At 41.0% G+C, this 16,660-nt stretch overlaps 1 protein-coding gene and 2 pseudogenes across 8 annotated transcripts in view, besides 4 other annotated features; 1 reads left to right on the forward strand and 2 right to left on the reverse strand.

Moving 5' to 3' along the window:
* Positions 1 to 16,660, forward strand: part of AEBP2 (AE binding protein 2) — a 118,156-nt gene that overhangs the window by 41,443 nt on the left and 60,053 nt on the right. The gene's annotated exons all lie outside the window — the stretch shown is intronic.
* On the reverse strand, positions 435 to 541 carry RNU6-254P (RNA, U6 small nuclear 254, pseudogene; annotated as a pseudogene).
* On the reverse strand, positions 10,537 to 12,195 carry EEF1A1P4 (eukaryotic translation elongation factor 1 alpha 1 pseudogene 4; annotated as a pseudogene).
* Positions 12,224 to 12,273: an enhancer, noted in NCBI's record as "active region_6080". NCBI's record gives its function as "activates an Ori minimal core promoter by ATAC-STARR-seq in GM12878 lymphoblastoid cells {active_cell/tissue: GM12878}" and the evidence as "EXISTENCE:reporter gene assay evidence [ECO:0000049][PMID:35858748]".
* Positions 12,784 to 12,833: an enhancer, noted in NCBI's record as "active region_6081". NCBI's record gives its function as "activates an Ori minimal core promoter by ATAC-STARR-seq in GM12878 lymphoblastoid cells {active_cell/tissue: GM12878}" and the evidence as "EXISTENCE:reporter gene assay evidence [ECO:0000049][PMID:35858748]".
* Positions 12,914 to 12,993: an enhancer, noted in NCBI's record as "active region_6082". NCBI's record gives its function as "activates an Ori minimal core promoter by ATAC-STARR-seq in GM12878 lymphoblastoid cells {active_cell/tissue: GM12878}" and the evidence as "EXISTENCE:reporter gene assay evidence [ECO:0000049][PMID:35858748]".
* Positions 13,349 to 13,872: an enhancer, noted in NCBI's record as "H3K4me1 hESC enhancer chr12:19611797-19612320 (GRCh37/hg19 assembly coordinates)". NCBI's record gives its function as "activates a minimal SCP1, AML or CMV promoter by ChIP-STARR-seq in naive H9 embryonic stem cells {active_cell/tissue: H9 hESC(naive)}" and the evidence as "EXISTENCE:reporter gene assay evidence [ECO:0000049][PMID:30033119]".

The following is a 16,660-nucleotide window of genomic DNA, read 5'->3' on the forward strand; positions in this document are numbered from 1 at the left end:
CATGCCAGGTACTCTTCTAAATGCTGGGGATACAGCAGGGTATAAAACAAAACCCTTACCTCATGAGTGGCAGAGAGAATCACTGCACAAATGAATTGATAATAGCTAGTAACGTCTGTTATTGTGAAGTGCTGTACGATCTGGAATGCCCAAAAGTACTGTATCAATCAGGTGTTAGATGTATGACAAGAGTCTGCAAATGAGTGTTGCAGAAATTTGCAAAAGGATATGGTAGACTAAAATATTTGATTACAGCATGTACATTTTAATCAGTTTTCTATGACTGTTCTGTGGTGGGCCTAAAAGCCTTCATATGAAACCTTTCATTTTAAATTGTTTTTAATATGTACGTGCAGCTAGTTATAAAAAAATATAACTAGCTTTCTTTTTTTTGGACGATAACTAGCTGAACGTACATATTAAAAACAATTAGAAAAGAAATGGAATGCTTCATGAATTTGCATGTCATCCTTGTGCAGGGGCCATGCTCATTTTCTCTGTATTGTTCCAAGTTTATCATATATGTTGCTGAAGCAAGCATGCCAGTTATCTATTGGTAAAAAGTTTTGGAATAAGTTTTCTAGTAATGGCAGTGGTCTAACCTATGATTAATTTATTTTTGCGATGAATAGTTTGTATTTGTGAAAGTAGTAATTATATTGGTCTTAAATACTAAGACCCATTGCGCCCCATTTAGTGATAAGAAACATGACGGTATCTCCTCAGATACTTTGTTTTTAAAGAGCAGGCTAAAGAGATTATTGTATTCTGTTTTTTCTGTAAATTGCGACATGGTGCATTCAAATTAGAACTGGAGGCAGGTATGGTTACTCACACCTGTCATCCCTGCACTTTGGAAGGCCAAGGTGGGAGGATCCCTTGAGCCTAGGGGTTCGAGACCAGCCAGGACAGTGTAACAAGATCCCATCTACAGGCGGGACACGGTAGCTCACGCCTGTAATCCCAGCACTTTTGGAGGCTGAAGCAGGCAGATCACAAGGTCAGGAGATCAAGACCATCCTGGCTAACACGGTGAAACCCCGTCTCTACTAAAAATACAGAAAAAAATTAGCTGGGCGTGGTGGCGGGCACCTGTAGTCCCAGCTACTTGGGAGACTGAGGCAGGAGAACGGCGTGAACCCAGGAGGCGGAGCTTGCAGTGAGCAGAGTTTGCGCCACTGCACTCCAGCCTGGGCGACAGAGCGAGACTCCGTTTCCAAAAAAAAAAAAAAAAAAAGATCTCATCTACAAAAAATGAAAAAATTAGCCAGATGTGGTGTCACATGCCTCAATTCCTAGCTACTTGAAAGGCTGAGGCAGGAGGATCACTTGGATCCAGGAGTCTGAGGCTGCAGTGAGCTGTGATTGTGCCACTGTAGTCAAACCTGGGTGACAGCAAGACTCTCACAAAAAACAAAAAAACAAAAAAACAAAAAAATTAGAGTTGGAACGTGTTGTATAGTTAGTGACTAAAGATTTTGTGTGGGAAGGGGGACAGATTTTAGGCTTGCGTAAATGATGAAGAGAGAATTCTAGAAAGCCTAACTGAAAACATGTAGGCAGGAATGAGCGTAGCATGTTCAGGAGACTTCCTGCCAACATCTAAGGATGCGCCACTGGACCTGGGAAGTAAGAATTAATGGTGCAAGTGAGGCCTTTCATGCCAACACAAGTGTGTACGTCTCTCAGTATAGGTTTGTGAATCAAATTCTTTTTATTCTCTTCACTTTCTTTCTGTGTAATTCCCTAGTTCACATTCAAGTCTTACGTTGAACAGGCTGGTTCCTTGTTAGACATATTGTCAGCATTCCGAGTTCTTTCTTGCCCTCACCCCAATATGGGTAATTGTTTACCATTTATCTCCACTGCTGGGTTGTGTGCTCCCTGAGAAGAAAAACCATGTCTATCTTGATTGGCACTTTATCTGTAGCACCTGGCTATGTAAACGTTATTTCTGAATACGTTTTCTTGAGGATTTAATTTGAACAATAGTTTGCATTGTTTTTCCAGACACAACCGTCACTAGAATAACTAAAGGAACATTGAGTAGTGAAAGAGCATGGACGTAATCTAACTTCTCAGAAGTTGCTTCCTTATCTGTAAAATAGGAGCAGTGTTAGGATTAAGTGAGATGACATGCAAAGGGGTTACGTATTTACTTCGTAGAGTCATTTATATATCCCCATTTCTCATGCAGAGATGGTGCAGTGGAAAGAATACTCCAGCTGAGGATAAGCGATCAGTATTGTAGTCTTGACTTTATTGCCGTCAGGAAATGTGGCAAATTGTTTATTTCTGTGAAGCTCAGATTGATTCTTTTTCTTAAAAATGAGGGTTTTTGACAAAACAGTATAAAGTAATTTGGAGCTCGAATGCGAGGGTGCTGCTGTAGAGTTGGCAAGTACTTTAAATACAGTTAAACAAATAGATAATGGATTATCTTCTTTAGACAAACTCGGAATATTGCCGTGTGTGGCTTTGTTATATCCAGGATCTCAAGGATATCTTAGGTAGGTTCTTTTGGGTTTAAAAATCACCATATTTCTTTTTAAAACATTTTTTTATTTTTGAAAATGGAGACTAGGTCTTGCTATGTTGCCGAGACTGGTTTTCAACTCTTGGGCTCCAGTGATTCTCTCTGCTTGACCTCCCAAAGTGCTGGGATTACAGGCGTGAGCCACTGTGCCTTGCCAGAAGTCATCATATTTCTACTTCATATTTATGATGTTGTATTGAAATATCCATTTGTGTTTATTTCCTCTAGGCTATAACATTTTAAAAGTAAAGATCAGGCCGGACATGGTGGCTCACATCCGTAGTAAAAATACAAAAATTAGGCGCATGCCTGTAATCCCAGCTACTTGGGAGGCTGAGGCAGGAGAATAGCTTGAACCCGGGAGGTGGAGGTTGCAGTGATCTGAGATCGTGCCATTGTGCTCCAGCCTGGGCAACAGAGCAAGACTCCATCTCAAAAAAAAAAAAAAGTAAAGATCAGGTCTCATATATACTTGCAGAACTTGCCTTCTGCACTCACTCAGTATGTCGTAGCCTGTATTCATTCTCAGTAATTGGTTGAATTCAACTTAATGTGGAAATACCTGATTGCATATTTCTTTCTCAGTTTCATTAGTGTGGCTGATTAAAGAAAAAGAGAACAGTTTTTTTTTGTTTTGTTTGTACTTCGAGACAGGGTCTTGCTCTGTCACTCAGGCTGGAGTGCAGTGGTACCGTCACAGCTCACTGCAGCCTCAAACTCCTGGACCCAAGTGACTGTCCTGCCTCAGCCTTCCAAATAGCTGGAGCTACAGGCATGCACTACCATGCCCAGCTGCTTTTTTCATTTTTTGTAGAGATGGGGTCTCCGTGTGTTGCCCAGGCTGGTCTCGAACCCCTGAGCTCAAGCAGTCCTCCCACCTTGGCCTCCCAAAGTGCAGGGATTACAGGTGTGAGCCACCACACCTGGCCATCATTACTTTTCATAAATATTTTTTAAAGTACAAAGAGTAGATGAATTGGCAATAGATTTTTTAGTGTTTTAAATTAATCTTGGAAATTGTTATATCAACATGTGTTTTGAGGTGTTCAGTCAAGAATGACAGTAGTCATTCTTGTCAGAAATGCATACTGAAATCATCTGATATTTTTCCTCAAAATTTCCTTAGGAAAGATCTTTTTATGATTTAATACTAATTAAACCTTCAGATGCAATTGCTTCTTTATTAAATGGGGGGTGTTCTTCATAGTGGATTTCTTTTTTTAAACATACCATCTTTGTGTATATACATTTCTCTGGAAATGTTTGTGAAAAGGTAAAGATAACTTCCTTAGTGTAATTGTGTTGAAGTGGAATGTTTCTAGTGTTTGTGAAGATATCAATTGCTGGCTGATATTTTAAGCTGGATGAAAAATGTGGGTGAAGTAATCTTAAAGGGTGATAGATTTGATATGAGAAATTTAAAGTAATGTGCTCAGTGCGTAGTGGTGATAAAAGAATGTAGCCTACTTGTTTTCCATAGACTATATTTCATCATTGTTGCATAAAGTCCCTTTTGGCCAATTTAGTGAATGCTGCTGGGTCTTCAGGAAAGAAAATCGTTTGTCTTTAACCAGAGAAATAATTGTGGGGATAGAAAGTAGTCTTTTTCTTGATGATAAAAATTCATTTTAGCTTTTTAAATTACAGTGGTAATAGCTTGTAGTAATAGTGGTAATATCTTGGTTTTGGCTAATGATTTTTAGTGTGCTTCCAGTTAATTTTTTTTGAATTATTTTAGTGTGACAAAGCCATATATTTTACTTGCCTTAAAAAATACTACTTAAGTTTCTCGCTAAAAATGATGAGCATTTACTACGTGCAAGGCTCTAACTAGGTTTGGGAGTTTACTCTGAATAGAGGTTTATAGGTGGCTACAAATTAACTGGATCATATGGGAGCAGAATTCCTTCCACCTTAGATGAATAAGAAGGGCCTTAGGGAAATTTGACTTATTTATAACACACAGATGTAATAAAATAGGCACTTGTCTTTACTTTTTTTTCCTAACTGAGTTTATAGACCAAAAAGCCTACAGCACCACCGCAGTTTTGAAAGCAAAATCAGGTAGCCTTACAGAATCTGATGTGTCTAAATTCCTTAATCCTGTTTAAGACCAGTTTTATAATTTGTTCTTTGTCCTTCGTAAGTAGAAAAAGTGACCACCCCATTGCCCTGGGAAGGAATGTTTGGAGTTGGATTTGATGTTGTCATTGTTAGGCTCAAATCTGTTTCAGTGGCCTAAGTTCTAAATTTGGGACAATTTCTTTCTACCCTCAGTGTTGCTTTCTATGACCTTGAATTTTTATGAAGCTAACTGACGTGTAGGAATCAAATTTAATAGTTTTTATTTTTAGTAAAACTGTCTGCCTGAATGGGTCAAATTTTATGTAGATGTTAAATATCTCTTTTGTGTTATGCACTATGAATGTACAAAACCAAAGAACTTTTGCTTGTGTGCTACACTAGATAAAAGTTTTGCATACTAGATGAAAATGTCAGCCTGGCACGGTGACTCATGCCTGTAATCTCAGCACTTTGGGAGGCTGAGGAGGGAGGATAGCTTCAACCCAGGAGTTTGAGACCAGCCTAAGCAACAAAGTGAGATCCCATCTCTACCAAAAAAAAAAAAAAGAAAAAAAAAAGACAGATGTAGTGGTGGTGCATACTTGTAGTCCCAGCTACTCAGGAGGCTGAGACGGGAAGATCGTTTGAATCTGGGAAGTTGAGGCTGCAATGAACTATGATTGTGCCACTGTACTCCTGCCTGAGTGACAAGAGTGAGACATTGTCTCAAAAAAAAAAAGGGTCATTTTTTTTTTTAGTTGCACTAAAGGAGTATTAGTGCCATTTTGATGTATACTATAGGCTGTATTTCAATTATTTCTTAAATCAGTAATTCATTCAAGTTTCTCCTTTGAATATATAGTAGTATGACAGTTTTTTTTTTGGCATTACTGTTTTGCACTTGTTTGACTATGGGCAAATCTTAATTTATCTGAAAGAAAAGGATACGAATAACAGTTTATTAGAGTTGTAAGCATTACAGAGTTAATACACATCAAACATTGTTCCAGTTATTATGGCTGCATGACAGCCCTTTTCCAACATTTAGTAGTTTAAAACGACAGCATTTATTTTACTTATGAATCTATGATTTGGGCCGGGTTCTGCAGGGTCAGCTCATTTCTGCTCTACTTGGTATCAGCTCGTGGAAGCAGCTTAAAGACTGGGGACTGGAATCAGAATGCCCACTGACTCATGTCATGTATCTGTCACATGTCTGGTGCCTGGGCTGGGAAGACTCAAAACAGCTGGGGGTCAGAACAGCTGGGGCTTCTCAGGCATCCCTCTCTAGCTCTGTGTATGTTCTTCACGGGATCTGTTCCACTTTGCGGCTTCAAGGGAGCCAGATTTCTTAAATGGTGGTTGAAGACTCCCGAGCTGAGTGTTCCAAGAGCGAGCCAGGCTGAAACTGTGTTCCCTTTTATGACTTAGCCTTGGAAGTCTGGCATCATCACTTCTGCAGTAGTCTCAGGCCTGATTAAATTCAAGGGGAGGTAATACAGACCACACCTATTAGTGCTGTATAATAAGAGGAGTTAAGGATGGGGTCTTTCAAAAGTGACCATCTTTTAATTTTTTTTTTTTTTTTAAGAGACAAGGTCTCGCTTGCTGGGTTGCCCAGGCTGGAGTACAGTGGCTGTTCACAGGCACAGTCATGGCATACTGCAATGTTGAGCTCTGATACTCAAGCCATCCTACCACCTTAGCCTCCTGAGTAGCTGGGACTACAGTTGTGCATCACTGCACCTGGCATTAAAGTGGCCATCTTTTGTTTTATTTTTATTTATTTATTTTTGAGATGGATTCTTGCTCTGTCACCCAGACGGGAGTGCAGTGGCACAATCTTGCTTCACTGCACCTCTGCCTCTCGGGTTTAAGCGATCCTCCTGCCTCAGCCTCCTAAGTAGCTGGGATTACAGGCATGCGCCCCCACACCCAGCTAATTTTTGTATTTTTAGTAGAGGTAGGGTTTCACCATGTTGGCCAGGCTGGTCTCGAACTCCTGACCTCAAGTGATCCGCCCACCTCAGCCTCCCAAAGTGCTGGGATTTTTATTTTTATTGGGATGGAGTTTCACCATATTACACAGGTTGGTCTTGAACTCCTGGATTCAAGTGATGTGTCTGCCTCGACCTCCCAAAGTGCTGGGATTACAGGCAAGAGCAACTGCTCCTGGCCAAAAGTGGCCATCTTTAAAAAAATACGATCTCACACAAGCACATAGAACAATGCAGGATATATAGCAAATGCTGTGTTAGCTGTTAATATAAAAAGTAGAAACAAGATTTAGAGTGCCTTTTGCTATTTTATATAGTAGGTTACATAATTGCTTTTTTCCCCTTAATAGTCATAACCTGTAACAAGCAAGGTTGTTAATGGTTTTCTTTTTCTTTTTTTTTTGTTGTTAATGGTTTTCTTGAAGTACCTGTTTCATTTGGTTGTTTTAACTTTTAATCCCTTTGTCAAGCCTAGACTAAATATTAGGGCAAATAATTATAATCTGTTCCAATGAATGGAGACGAGAAATGGTAACTCAAGTAAAGAATTTTTACTCTTAGAGTTGTGCATTAGGTGTACAACTTCAGAGTTCTTAAGATATAGGGGATTCTTAAATGCTTTTGCAATGTTTTGAATTTTACCCTTTAAGAAATTGATTATAAGGGCGGGAGAGACATAGTGTAATCTTTCTAGTATAAGTGGCAGTTTTATAGATGAAAGGAATATCACCTGTTAGCTGAATGATAGTTTACCTGTTAATATGATTAGATTAGGATTTCCTTTGTATCATTGTAATGTTTACCTAGTTTGATAAATAGGCCTGTGAAAAACTATTATAGACTTACGTTCTTTTTTTTTTTTTTTTTTTTTTGAGACGGAGTCTCGCTTTGTCGCCCAAGCTGGAATGCAGTAGTAGCATGATCTCGGCTCATTGCAAGCTCCGCCTCCCAGGTTCACGCCATTCTCCTGCCTCAGCCTCCCGAGTAGCTGGGACCACGGGTACCCGCCACCAGCCCCGGATGATTTTTTTGTATTTTTAGTAAAGATGGAGTTTCACTGTGTTAGCCAGGATGGTCTCGATCTCCTGACCTCGTGATCCACCCGCCTCAGCCTCCCAAAGTGCTGGGATTACAGGCGTGAGCCACCGTGCCCGGCCGACTTAACGTACTTTCTTAAAAGTTTTTTTGTAGAGATGGGGTCTTGTCATGTTGCCCAGGCTGGTCTCGAACTCTTGGCCTCAAGCAGTCCTCTCACCTTGGCCTCCCAACATGTTGGGATTATAGGCATGAACCACTGTGCCTGACCTATATACTTTCTTTTTTTTTGAGAAGGAGTCTTGCTCTTTTGCTCAGGCTGGAGTGCAGTGGCTCGATTGAGCTCAGCTCACTGTAGCCTCCGCTTCCTGGGTTCAAACGATTCTCCTGCCTCAGCCTCCTGTGTAGCTGGGATTACAGGCACGCGACACCATGCCCAGCTAATTTTTGTGTTTTTATTAGAGATGGGGTTTTGCCATGTTGGCTAGGCTGGTCTCAAACTCCCAACCTCAGGTGATCCACCCGCCTTGGCCTCCCAAAGTGCTGGGATTATAGGCGTGAGCCACCGCACCCGGACAAATGAATTTAAATTTGAAGTGGGTGTTTGTGGATGATACATGTTTATGTCAGTTTTAGCATCCAGTTTCTTTCTTTCTTTGTTTTTTGAGACAGAGTATTGCTCTGTCACCCGGGCTGGAGTGCGGTGGAGGCGGGATCACAGCTCACTGCAAACTCCACCTCCACGGCTCAAGTGATTCTCCCCCCCTCGGCCTCCCAAAGTGCTGGGATTACAGGCTTGATCCACCATGCCTGGCCCCCAGTTTATGTCTTTATTCTGTTTTGGCTGCTTGGTTCTGCAAATCTGATTTGGAGATATGGACAGTCTCCATGTCTCCATGTGTACCTTAGTTTGTTCTTTTTTAAAAATGGAGACGGGGTCTCGCCATGTTGCCAGGCTGATCTCCAACTCCTGAGCTCAAGCCGTTCGCCGCCTCTGCCTCTCAAAGTGCTGGGATTAACAGATGTGAGCAACTGCGCTGACCACATTAGTTCTACTGATTTAGGAACAGGGATTAGTAGTAAGGACGTTTTATTTGGAAGACAACATTGTTTATTGACTTTAATTGTTTTCACTTCCTGTCACAAATGCAAAAGTGACCAGAACCTCACACTGAACTCTTAATACTGTTTTATGTCAACTTTTAATTGTTACCACACACACACACTTGGCTAGACCCTTAAGTGAAGGGAGGATTCACAAAGTAATTGTGGGGAAAGGTCTTTAATTGGTTAAGGTATAAGGTATACGATTTGCAAGCATGATTTTATGTGAATGAAGATGTGAAGGCTTAAATTAGGGTGGTAGAAACACCAGTGCAGCAGAGCCGTAGCCTTTTTACTCAGTGATGTATTCATAGAAAATTCTGAAATTCGTAGATTTTAGTTTTTTTGAATGTCAATAAATTATGCTTGATTTCAGGTTATATACTCTAAATCCTTCAAGTCCTTGTCCTCTACCTTCCTTTAAAGTTAGATATTACAGTGCTTGCTTTGGCGGCACATACACTAAAAAAAATAAAGTTGGACATTTCAGTAGGCTAGACCTCACCAAAGATACGGCAGGTGGGTGGAGGGGGGAGAACGACCCAAAGTTACCAAGGAGGAGCTACAACACAAATGAATTTGCTCACAGAACTGAAAAGAAGACTGCCGATAAGGCTTGCCCCTATCCATTTGACCTCAGACTGAATTTCAAATTCAGCAGTTAACCTCAGAATAAAATAAAAGTATTCCCGTTTAGAAACATATTCTTTTGATCTGTTTTAGGGAGGTGCTCAAGCTTTGGTGGTTCTCAGATTTTTTTTTTTTTTCATGAGATAGAATCTTGCTCTGTCATCCAGGCTGGAGTGCAGTGGCACAATCATAGCTCACTGCAGCCTTGGACTTCTAGCAATCCTCACCTTAGCCTCCTGTGTAGCTGGGATTACAGGCACATACCAACATGCCCAGCTAATTTTTTTTTTTTTTAAGAGACAGGGTCTTGCTATGTTGCCCAGGTTGCTCTTGAACTTCCAGCTTCTAGAAATCCTCCCGCTCCAGCCTCCCAAGTTGCTGGGATTGTAGGCGTGAGCCACTGCGCCTGGCAGAAGTCATATTTCAATAGCCCTTTAAGATAATTGTGTTGCTATTTGGTAATAAGACAACACTTGGCAAGTGGTAGTTTCTTAAAGATTATTTGCAATGTGTAATCAGAAACCATGTTAGTGAACTTTTCTCAGTTACTTTAAGACCATAGTTTTGTCCTTCTCAGTCATGGTAACATAAGCATCCATGTATTGCTTCCTATGCTCATGCACCTTGTCATTTAGCAAAGTGATCTTTATAACTTTCTCAGTATTGGCAACCCTGTCAGCCCTGGTCACGTCCACCAAGCAGATACTTGCCTAGAAGTAATTTAAGACTCAAAGTTGGGGCTGTTCTGGATGTATGAGTGAGACAGGCTTCGAATTTCCAAAGGAAACCATTTTTATAAAATCATACAGTTGATCGCTCTAGCTGTTGGGTGGAAAACTGGTCTGCTAGATAGTTTCTAAACTAAGGGAAAAGAGGAAAAGGAGAATGTTGTTGATGTTGAAAATATCTCAGGTTGCTCCCTAAATATTCCATTGACATCTCTAACAACGTGTGTGTAGGTGTTTTTTAAACTTAAAAATTTGGTTTACCATTTTACCATATGAAACAATTTCTTAGATGGTCTCATCAGTTTCAGTTGGGTAACAATACTAGTCAAAGAGATCTTTTTTTTTTTCCTCATTAAACTTTTTTAGGGGCTCTCAAAATTCCTTGACAAATTTTTAGTCAAGTTGTTTCCATTAAAAAGTACTGATTTTAAAAACTAATAACTTAAAACTGCCACGCGCAAAAAAGAAAACCAAAGTGGTCCACAAAACATTCTCCTTTCCTTCTGAAGGTTTTACAATGCATTGTTGTAACCAGTCTTTTACTACTAAACTTAAATGGCCAATTGAAACAAACAGTTCTGAGACCATTCTTCCACCACTGATTAAGACCGGGGTGGCAGGTATTAGGGATAATATTCATTTAGCCTTTTGAGCTTTCTGGGCAGATTTGGTGACCTTGCCAGCTCCAGCAGCCTTCTTGTTCACTGCTTTGATGACATCCACTGCAACTGTCTGTCTCATATCATGAACAGCAGCGCGACCCAGAGGTGGGTAGTCTGAGAAGCACTCAACACACACGGGCTTGCCAGGAACCATATCAACGTTGGCAGCATCACCAGAGTTCAAGAAGTTAGGGCCATCTTCCAGCTTTTTACCAACATGGCGATCCATCTTTTCCTTCAGCTCAGCAAACTTGCATGCAGTGTGAGCCGTGTGGCAATCCAGTACAGGGGCATAGCCAGCACTTATTTGGCCTGGAAGGTTCAGGATAATCACCTGAGCAGTGAAGCCAGCCGCTTCCATTGGTGGGTCATCTTTGCTGTCACCAGCATCATTGCCATGACGAACATCCTTGACAGACACATTCTTGACATTGAAGCCCACATTGTCCCCAGAAAGAGTTTCACTCAAAGCTTCATGGTGCATTTCGACAGATTTTACTTCAGTTTTAATGTTGACTGGAGCAAAGGTGACCACCATACCAGGTTTGAGAACACCAGTCTCCACTCGGCCAACAGGAACAGTACCAATACCACCAATTTTTGTAGACATCCTGGAGAGGCAGGCAAAGGGGCTTGTTAGTTGGATGAGTTGGTGGTAGGATGTAGTCCAGAGCCTCAAGCAGCATGGTTCCACTGGTATTGCCATCCTTACAGGAGGATTTTCGTCCCTTGAACCAAGGCATGTTAAAACTTGGCTCCAGCATGTTGTCACCATTCCAACCAGAAATTGGCACAAATGCTTCTGTGTCGGGGTTGTAGCCAATTTTCTTAATTTAAGTGTTGACTTCCTTAACAATTTCCTCATATCTCTTCTGGCTGTAGGGTGGCTCAGTGGAATCCATTTTGTTAACACCGACAATTAGTTGTTTCACACCCAGTGTGTAAGCCAAAAGGGCATGCTCCTAGGTTTGTCCATTCTTGGAGATACCAGCTTCAAATTCACCAACACTGGCAGCAACAATCAGGACAGCACAGTCAGCCTGAGATGTCCCTGTAATCATGTTTTTGATGAAGTCTCTGTGGTTAAGTCTCTGTGTCCTAGGGCATCAATGATAGTCACGTAGCACTTGCTGTTCTCAAATTTCCACAAGGAGGTATTAATGGTGATACCACGTTCACGCTCAGCTTTCAGTTTATCCAAGACCCAGGCCTACTTGAAGGAGCCCTTTCCCATCTCAGCAGCCTCCTTCTCAATTTTTTCAATGGTTCTTTTGTTGATGCTACCACATTTGTAGTTCAGATGGCCAGTAGTGGTGGACTTGTACGAATCTACGTGTCCAATGACGACAATGTGGATATGAGTCTTTTCCTTTCCCATTTTGGCTTTTAGGGGTAGTTTTCACAACACCTGTGTTCTGGCGGCAAACCCATTGTGAAAAGAAAAAAAAGCTAGTCAGAGAGATCTTTTCGGTTCCTACTAGTCAAAATGTCACAGCAGCATCAAGCGGGCACTTGTTAGAAATGCTTTATCTCAGGACCTACCCTAAACCTGCTGAATCAGAATCTGCAGTTAATAATACTGAATGCAGAATCTGCATTTGATTTGTATACACATGAAAGTTTGAGAAACACTGCTTTAGATTATCTAAGCTATCTGCATAGTGTGAGTGTATTGTCTGGCTTAGGTATTCTTCCAAATATCAGGGTGTATAGGTCTTCACATTTCATGAAATCAGTAGGTGTTCATTGAAAAGGAGAATTAACTGTGTGAAAAAATTTAACATATGTATGGTCCTAGAAATACTATAAGTTTAGGTGGATTGTCTCTTGTTACATAACGTATTATAGGAGGAAGGGCACTGCTTTCTGTGAAATTGCTATCTAGCTCAGGGTCCTGTCACAATCAGAAGTTACCTGTCATTTGTTTTCTGTCCTCTACTGTTGCATCAGGTCTGTTGCCTTCATCAGTCGAGAGAATGGAGAGGACCACTGGTGGCAGCATGGGTCTGGGGCCAAAAGGGAGCCTAGAGGCTTAGGATTGGATACTTCCTAGAAGTTGGAGGAGCCTAAGAGGGGTTGTGAAGCAGAACTTCTGTTGGCCCTGTTCAGCTTGGGGGAGACTCTGTGTGGGATGTCTTGAGTGTTCCAGGACGTGCCTCTCACCTTGTCTGCCATTGTATTCACAGCTTAGTCCCCAGTGGTAGGCAAAGCTCATGCTCTTAACATTTACATTATGTTGTCTTTATGAGGAGCTATATCCACATGAAGTATTGTTTCAAGTGTGTGATATCACACATAGACTCAACAATGATTACCGTTACCAGATTTTGGACTTTTTTATATGGTTCCTTTTCTTTGGCAAAGGTAATAAGCAAAAGTACATGAAGTACTATGTAGACAGACAGATTCCATAATGATGTTTCGCAGCTATATAAATCTCTCTTAACCTTACTGTGTCCAGTTAAAAAAAATCGATTTGGTTTTCAACTAATTTTGGACTTTTTAATAAAAGCAGTATAGGTACAGCATGGTTAAAATGGTATAAAAGGGTATATACAGTGAAAGATAAGTTTCTCTCCCACTCTTCCCTTCCCCCAAATATTTACTAGGTTTCGTATATCTTTCTGTGCCCTTGGAGACTAGCTATGTCTCTGTCTCCCTCCCCAACTTAGGTATGCAAATTGGATCATGACTACCCTGCACTTGTGTGTGTTTTACTTAACTATACCTTGGAGATTGTTCCATATCACATTGAGTTTTTATTGCTTTTCCTGAGATTGTTTATAAATTGGTTATGATTGGTTGTTCACTTAGAATTATTAGTATTTGCCTTGGAGTTAAATTAGTATAGTTTATGTAAGTATGTGCTTTACAGTTGAATGTTTTAAAATATTTAAAGCAAGTGATAGGGAAAATAGGTAACCATTTCAGGGTTAAGGGCCTCATGAAACTTGAAATTTCTTTTTTTTTCTTTTTTTTGAGACAGAGTCTCGCTCTGTTGCCCAGGCTGGAGTGCAGTGGTGCGATCTGGGCTCACCGCAAGCTCTGCCTCCTGGGTTCATGCCATTCTCCTGCCTTAGCCTCCTGAGTAGCTGGGACTACAGGCTCCTGCCACTATGCCTGGCTAATTTTTTGTGTTTTTAATAGAGACAGGGTTTCACTGTGTTAGCCAGGCTGGTCTCGATCTCCTGACCTCGTGATCCGCCCGCCTCAGCCTCCCAAACTGCTGGGATTACAGGCGTGAGCCACCGCGCCCGGCCGGGGGAAACTTGAAATTTCTAGGGTTTAAATAAAATATGTATTTCGGTATAGAAAAACCACCATACCCAAGGTTAGTCTTGCAACAACAAACAATATATGTATATTCAGATATTCAAGAGCTGATTCACATTTGAGAGTTTTACAGAGATTACAGAGTTTTAGAATGAAGCCTTAGAGTTGCACTTTAGAATCTATATTGACTAGGCAGGTAAATATATATTTATTGCATTTAACTAACTAGGTAGGTAGATAGATGAGCTTAAATACTAGAATATCCTTTAAAGGAAAACCTGAGACATTTTTCATATCTGAAGCATCCTACAAAAATATCTTTGCTTTTAAAAATGGATACGTTTCTAGCATGGGCAGCAAAACAAGACTCTGCCGCTACAAAAAAATAGAAAAATTAGCTCGGTGCAGTGGCTAATGCCTGTAGTCCCAGTACTTTGGGAGGCCAAGGCAGGAGGATTGCTTGAGCCCAGCCTGGACAACATAAAGAGACCTCATCTCTACAGAAATTTAAAAAATTTAGTTGGCCATAGTGGTGCACACCTGTAGGCCCGGCTACTCAGGAGGCTGAGGTGGGAGGATCACTTGAGCCTGGTAGGTCAAGGCTGCAATGAGCCGTGATAGCACCACCGCACTATAGGCTTGGCAACGGAGTGAAGACCCTGTCTTAACATCCCCCCACCCCTCACAATAGGTACATTTGATGTTAGACACAGATCATTATAAAGCTTACTTAAGCTAACAAAATTCATGTAAATTTTCTCAGGTGTGAGTGAATAGGTTGTATTGGTATATAGGTGAACGTTCTTTTTGTTTTTTGAGACAGAGTCTCGCTCTGTCGCCCAGGCTCGAGTGCAGTGGCGTTACCTTGGCTCACTGCAACCTCCTACTGCAACCTCCTCCTCCCAGGTTCAAGCAATTCTCTGTCTCAGCCTCCCGAGTAGCTGGGATTACAGGCGTGTGCCACCATGCCCAGCTGATTTTTGTATTTTTAGTAGAGATGTGGTTTCACCATCTTGATCAGGCTGGTCTTGAACTCCTGACCTTGTGATCCACCCACCTCGGCCTCCCAGAGTGCTGGGATTATAGGCGTGAGCCACCACGCCCGGCCTGAAAGTTTTTTTTTTTTTTTGAGACAGAGTCTAGCTCTGTCGCCCAGGTTGGAGTCCAGTGCCGCTATCTCTGCTCACAGCAGTCTCCGCCTCCTGGGTTCACACCATTCTCCTGCCTCAGTCTCCCGAGTAGCTGGGACTGCAGGCGCACACTACCATGCCTGGCTAATTTTTTATATTTTTAGTAGAGACAGGGTTTCACCATGTTAGCCAGGATGGTCTCGATCTCCTGATCTTGTGATCTGCCTGCTGCGGCCTCCCAAAGTGCTGCGATTACAGGCATGCGCCACTGTGCCCGGCCTGAATGTTCTTTTTTTTTAAGAAGGTATATACTGTGGTTGATTGTCATGATGCCTGCAATTTTAAAATGATTCAGAGAAACAGATTACAGATAGCAAATAGGGTAAAATGTTAATTGAATTCAGATTTAGCTGTATTTTGTGTCTTTGAACTTTTCCATGATAAAAACTTGGCGGGAGGGAAACATACCTCTTTAAAGTTAATATAATTTTCACAACTTGACTTGTGTTGTTTCTTAAATTGCAAGCAGATACACACCTTTTCATAGATTTAATCTGAAAACATTCTTTCTCTTGACCCTTATGATTGAAGTGACTTTCATGTAATTTATTTATTGAGAAGATTTTGAAAAAAGAAAATAAGTGAATTGCTTTTAAAATGAAGGCGGAAGTGTGATACATTTTATTAAGATGTGAATTTTTGAGCATTTTGACCACTAGTATATACTTTTTTTAGTAAATAAAAGAGTTACTACTGTGTAATACTTTATTTTATTTTTTGAGATGGTGTTTTGCTCTTGTTGACCAGGCTGGAGTGCAATGGCGTGATACTTTATTTTATTTTATTTTATTTTTTGAGACGGAGTTTTGCTCGTTGACCAGGTTGGAGTGCAATGGTGCGATCTCGGCTCACTCCAACCTCCGCCTCCTGGGTTCAAGAGATTCTCCTGCCTCAGCCTCCTGAGTAGCTGGGATTACAGGCACCTGCCACCACACCCGGATAATTTTTTGTATTTTTAGTAGCAGTGGGATTTCACCATGTTGGCCAGGCTGGTTTCAAACTCCTGGCATCAGGTAGTCCACCCGCCTCGGCCTCCCAAAGTGCTGGAATTACAGGAGTGAGCCACTGCGTCCAGCCATATGTAATACTTTAGTAAATAAAAAGTAAAAGGGATTGATTGGCATTTTCAGTCTTTTTTTTTATGGCTAGAGATGAGTTAAAAAAATAAAATTTTAGGGCTAGGAAAAGATTTTTTATTTGGACTTTAGAAAAATCAGAGACCAGTTTTCTCTCTTCTGCTTTTTTATTTAGCTGGGAAAATACTGCAAAATTTCCCCAATTCTTTGACATGAAAAGAAGTAGGATGTGGCAGCAGTTATATTTTCAGATTAATGAATAGAAGAGATTTCAGGTCAACAAGTGATTTGCAGAGCTATAAAGATAATGCTTTGATTGTGAATTATTTACAGCTGGAAACTCTTACTTTCTTATGCTTCTTTGA

Source organism: Homo sapiens, chromosome 12, assembly GCF_000001405.40.
Source record: "Homo sapiens chromosome 12, GRCh38.p14 Primary Assembly".
In the NCBI taxonomy this organism is placed as follows: domain Eukaryota; kingdom Metazoa; phylum Chordata; class Mammalia; order Primates; family Hominidae; genus Homo; species Homo sapiens.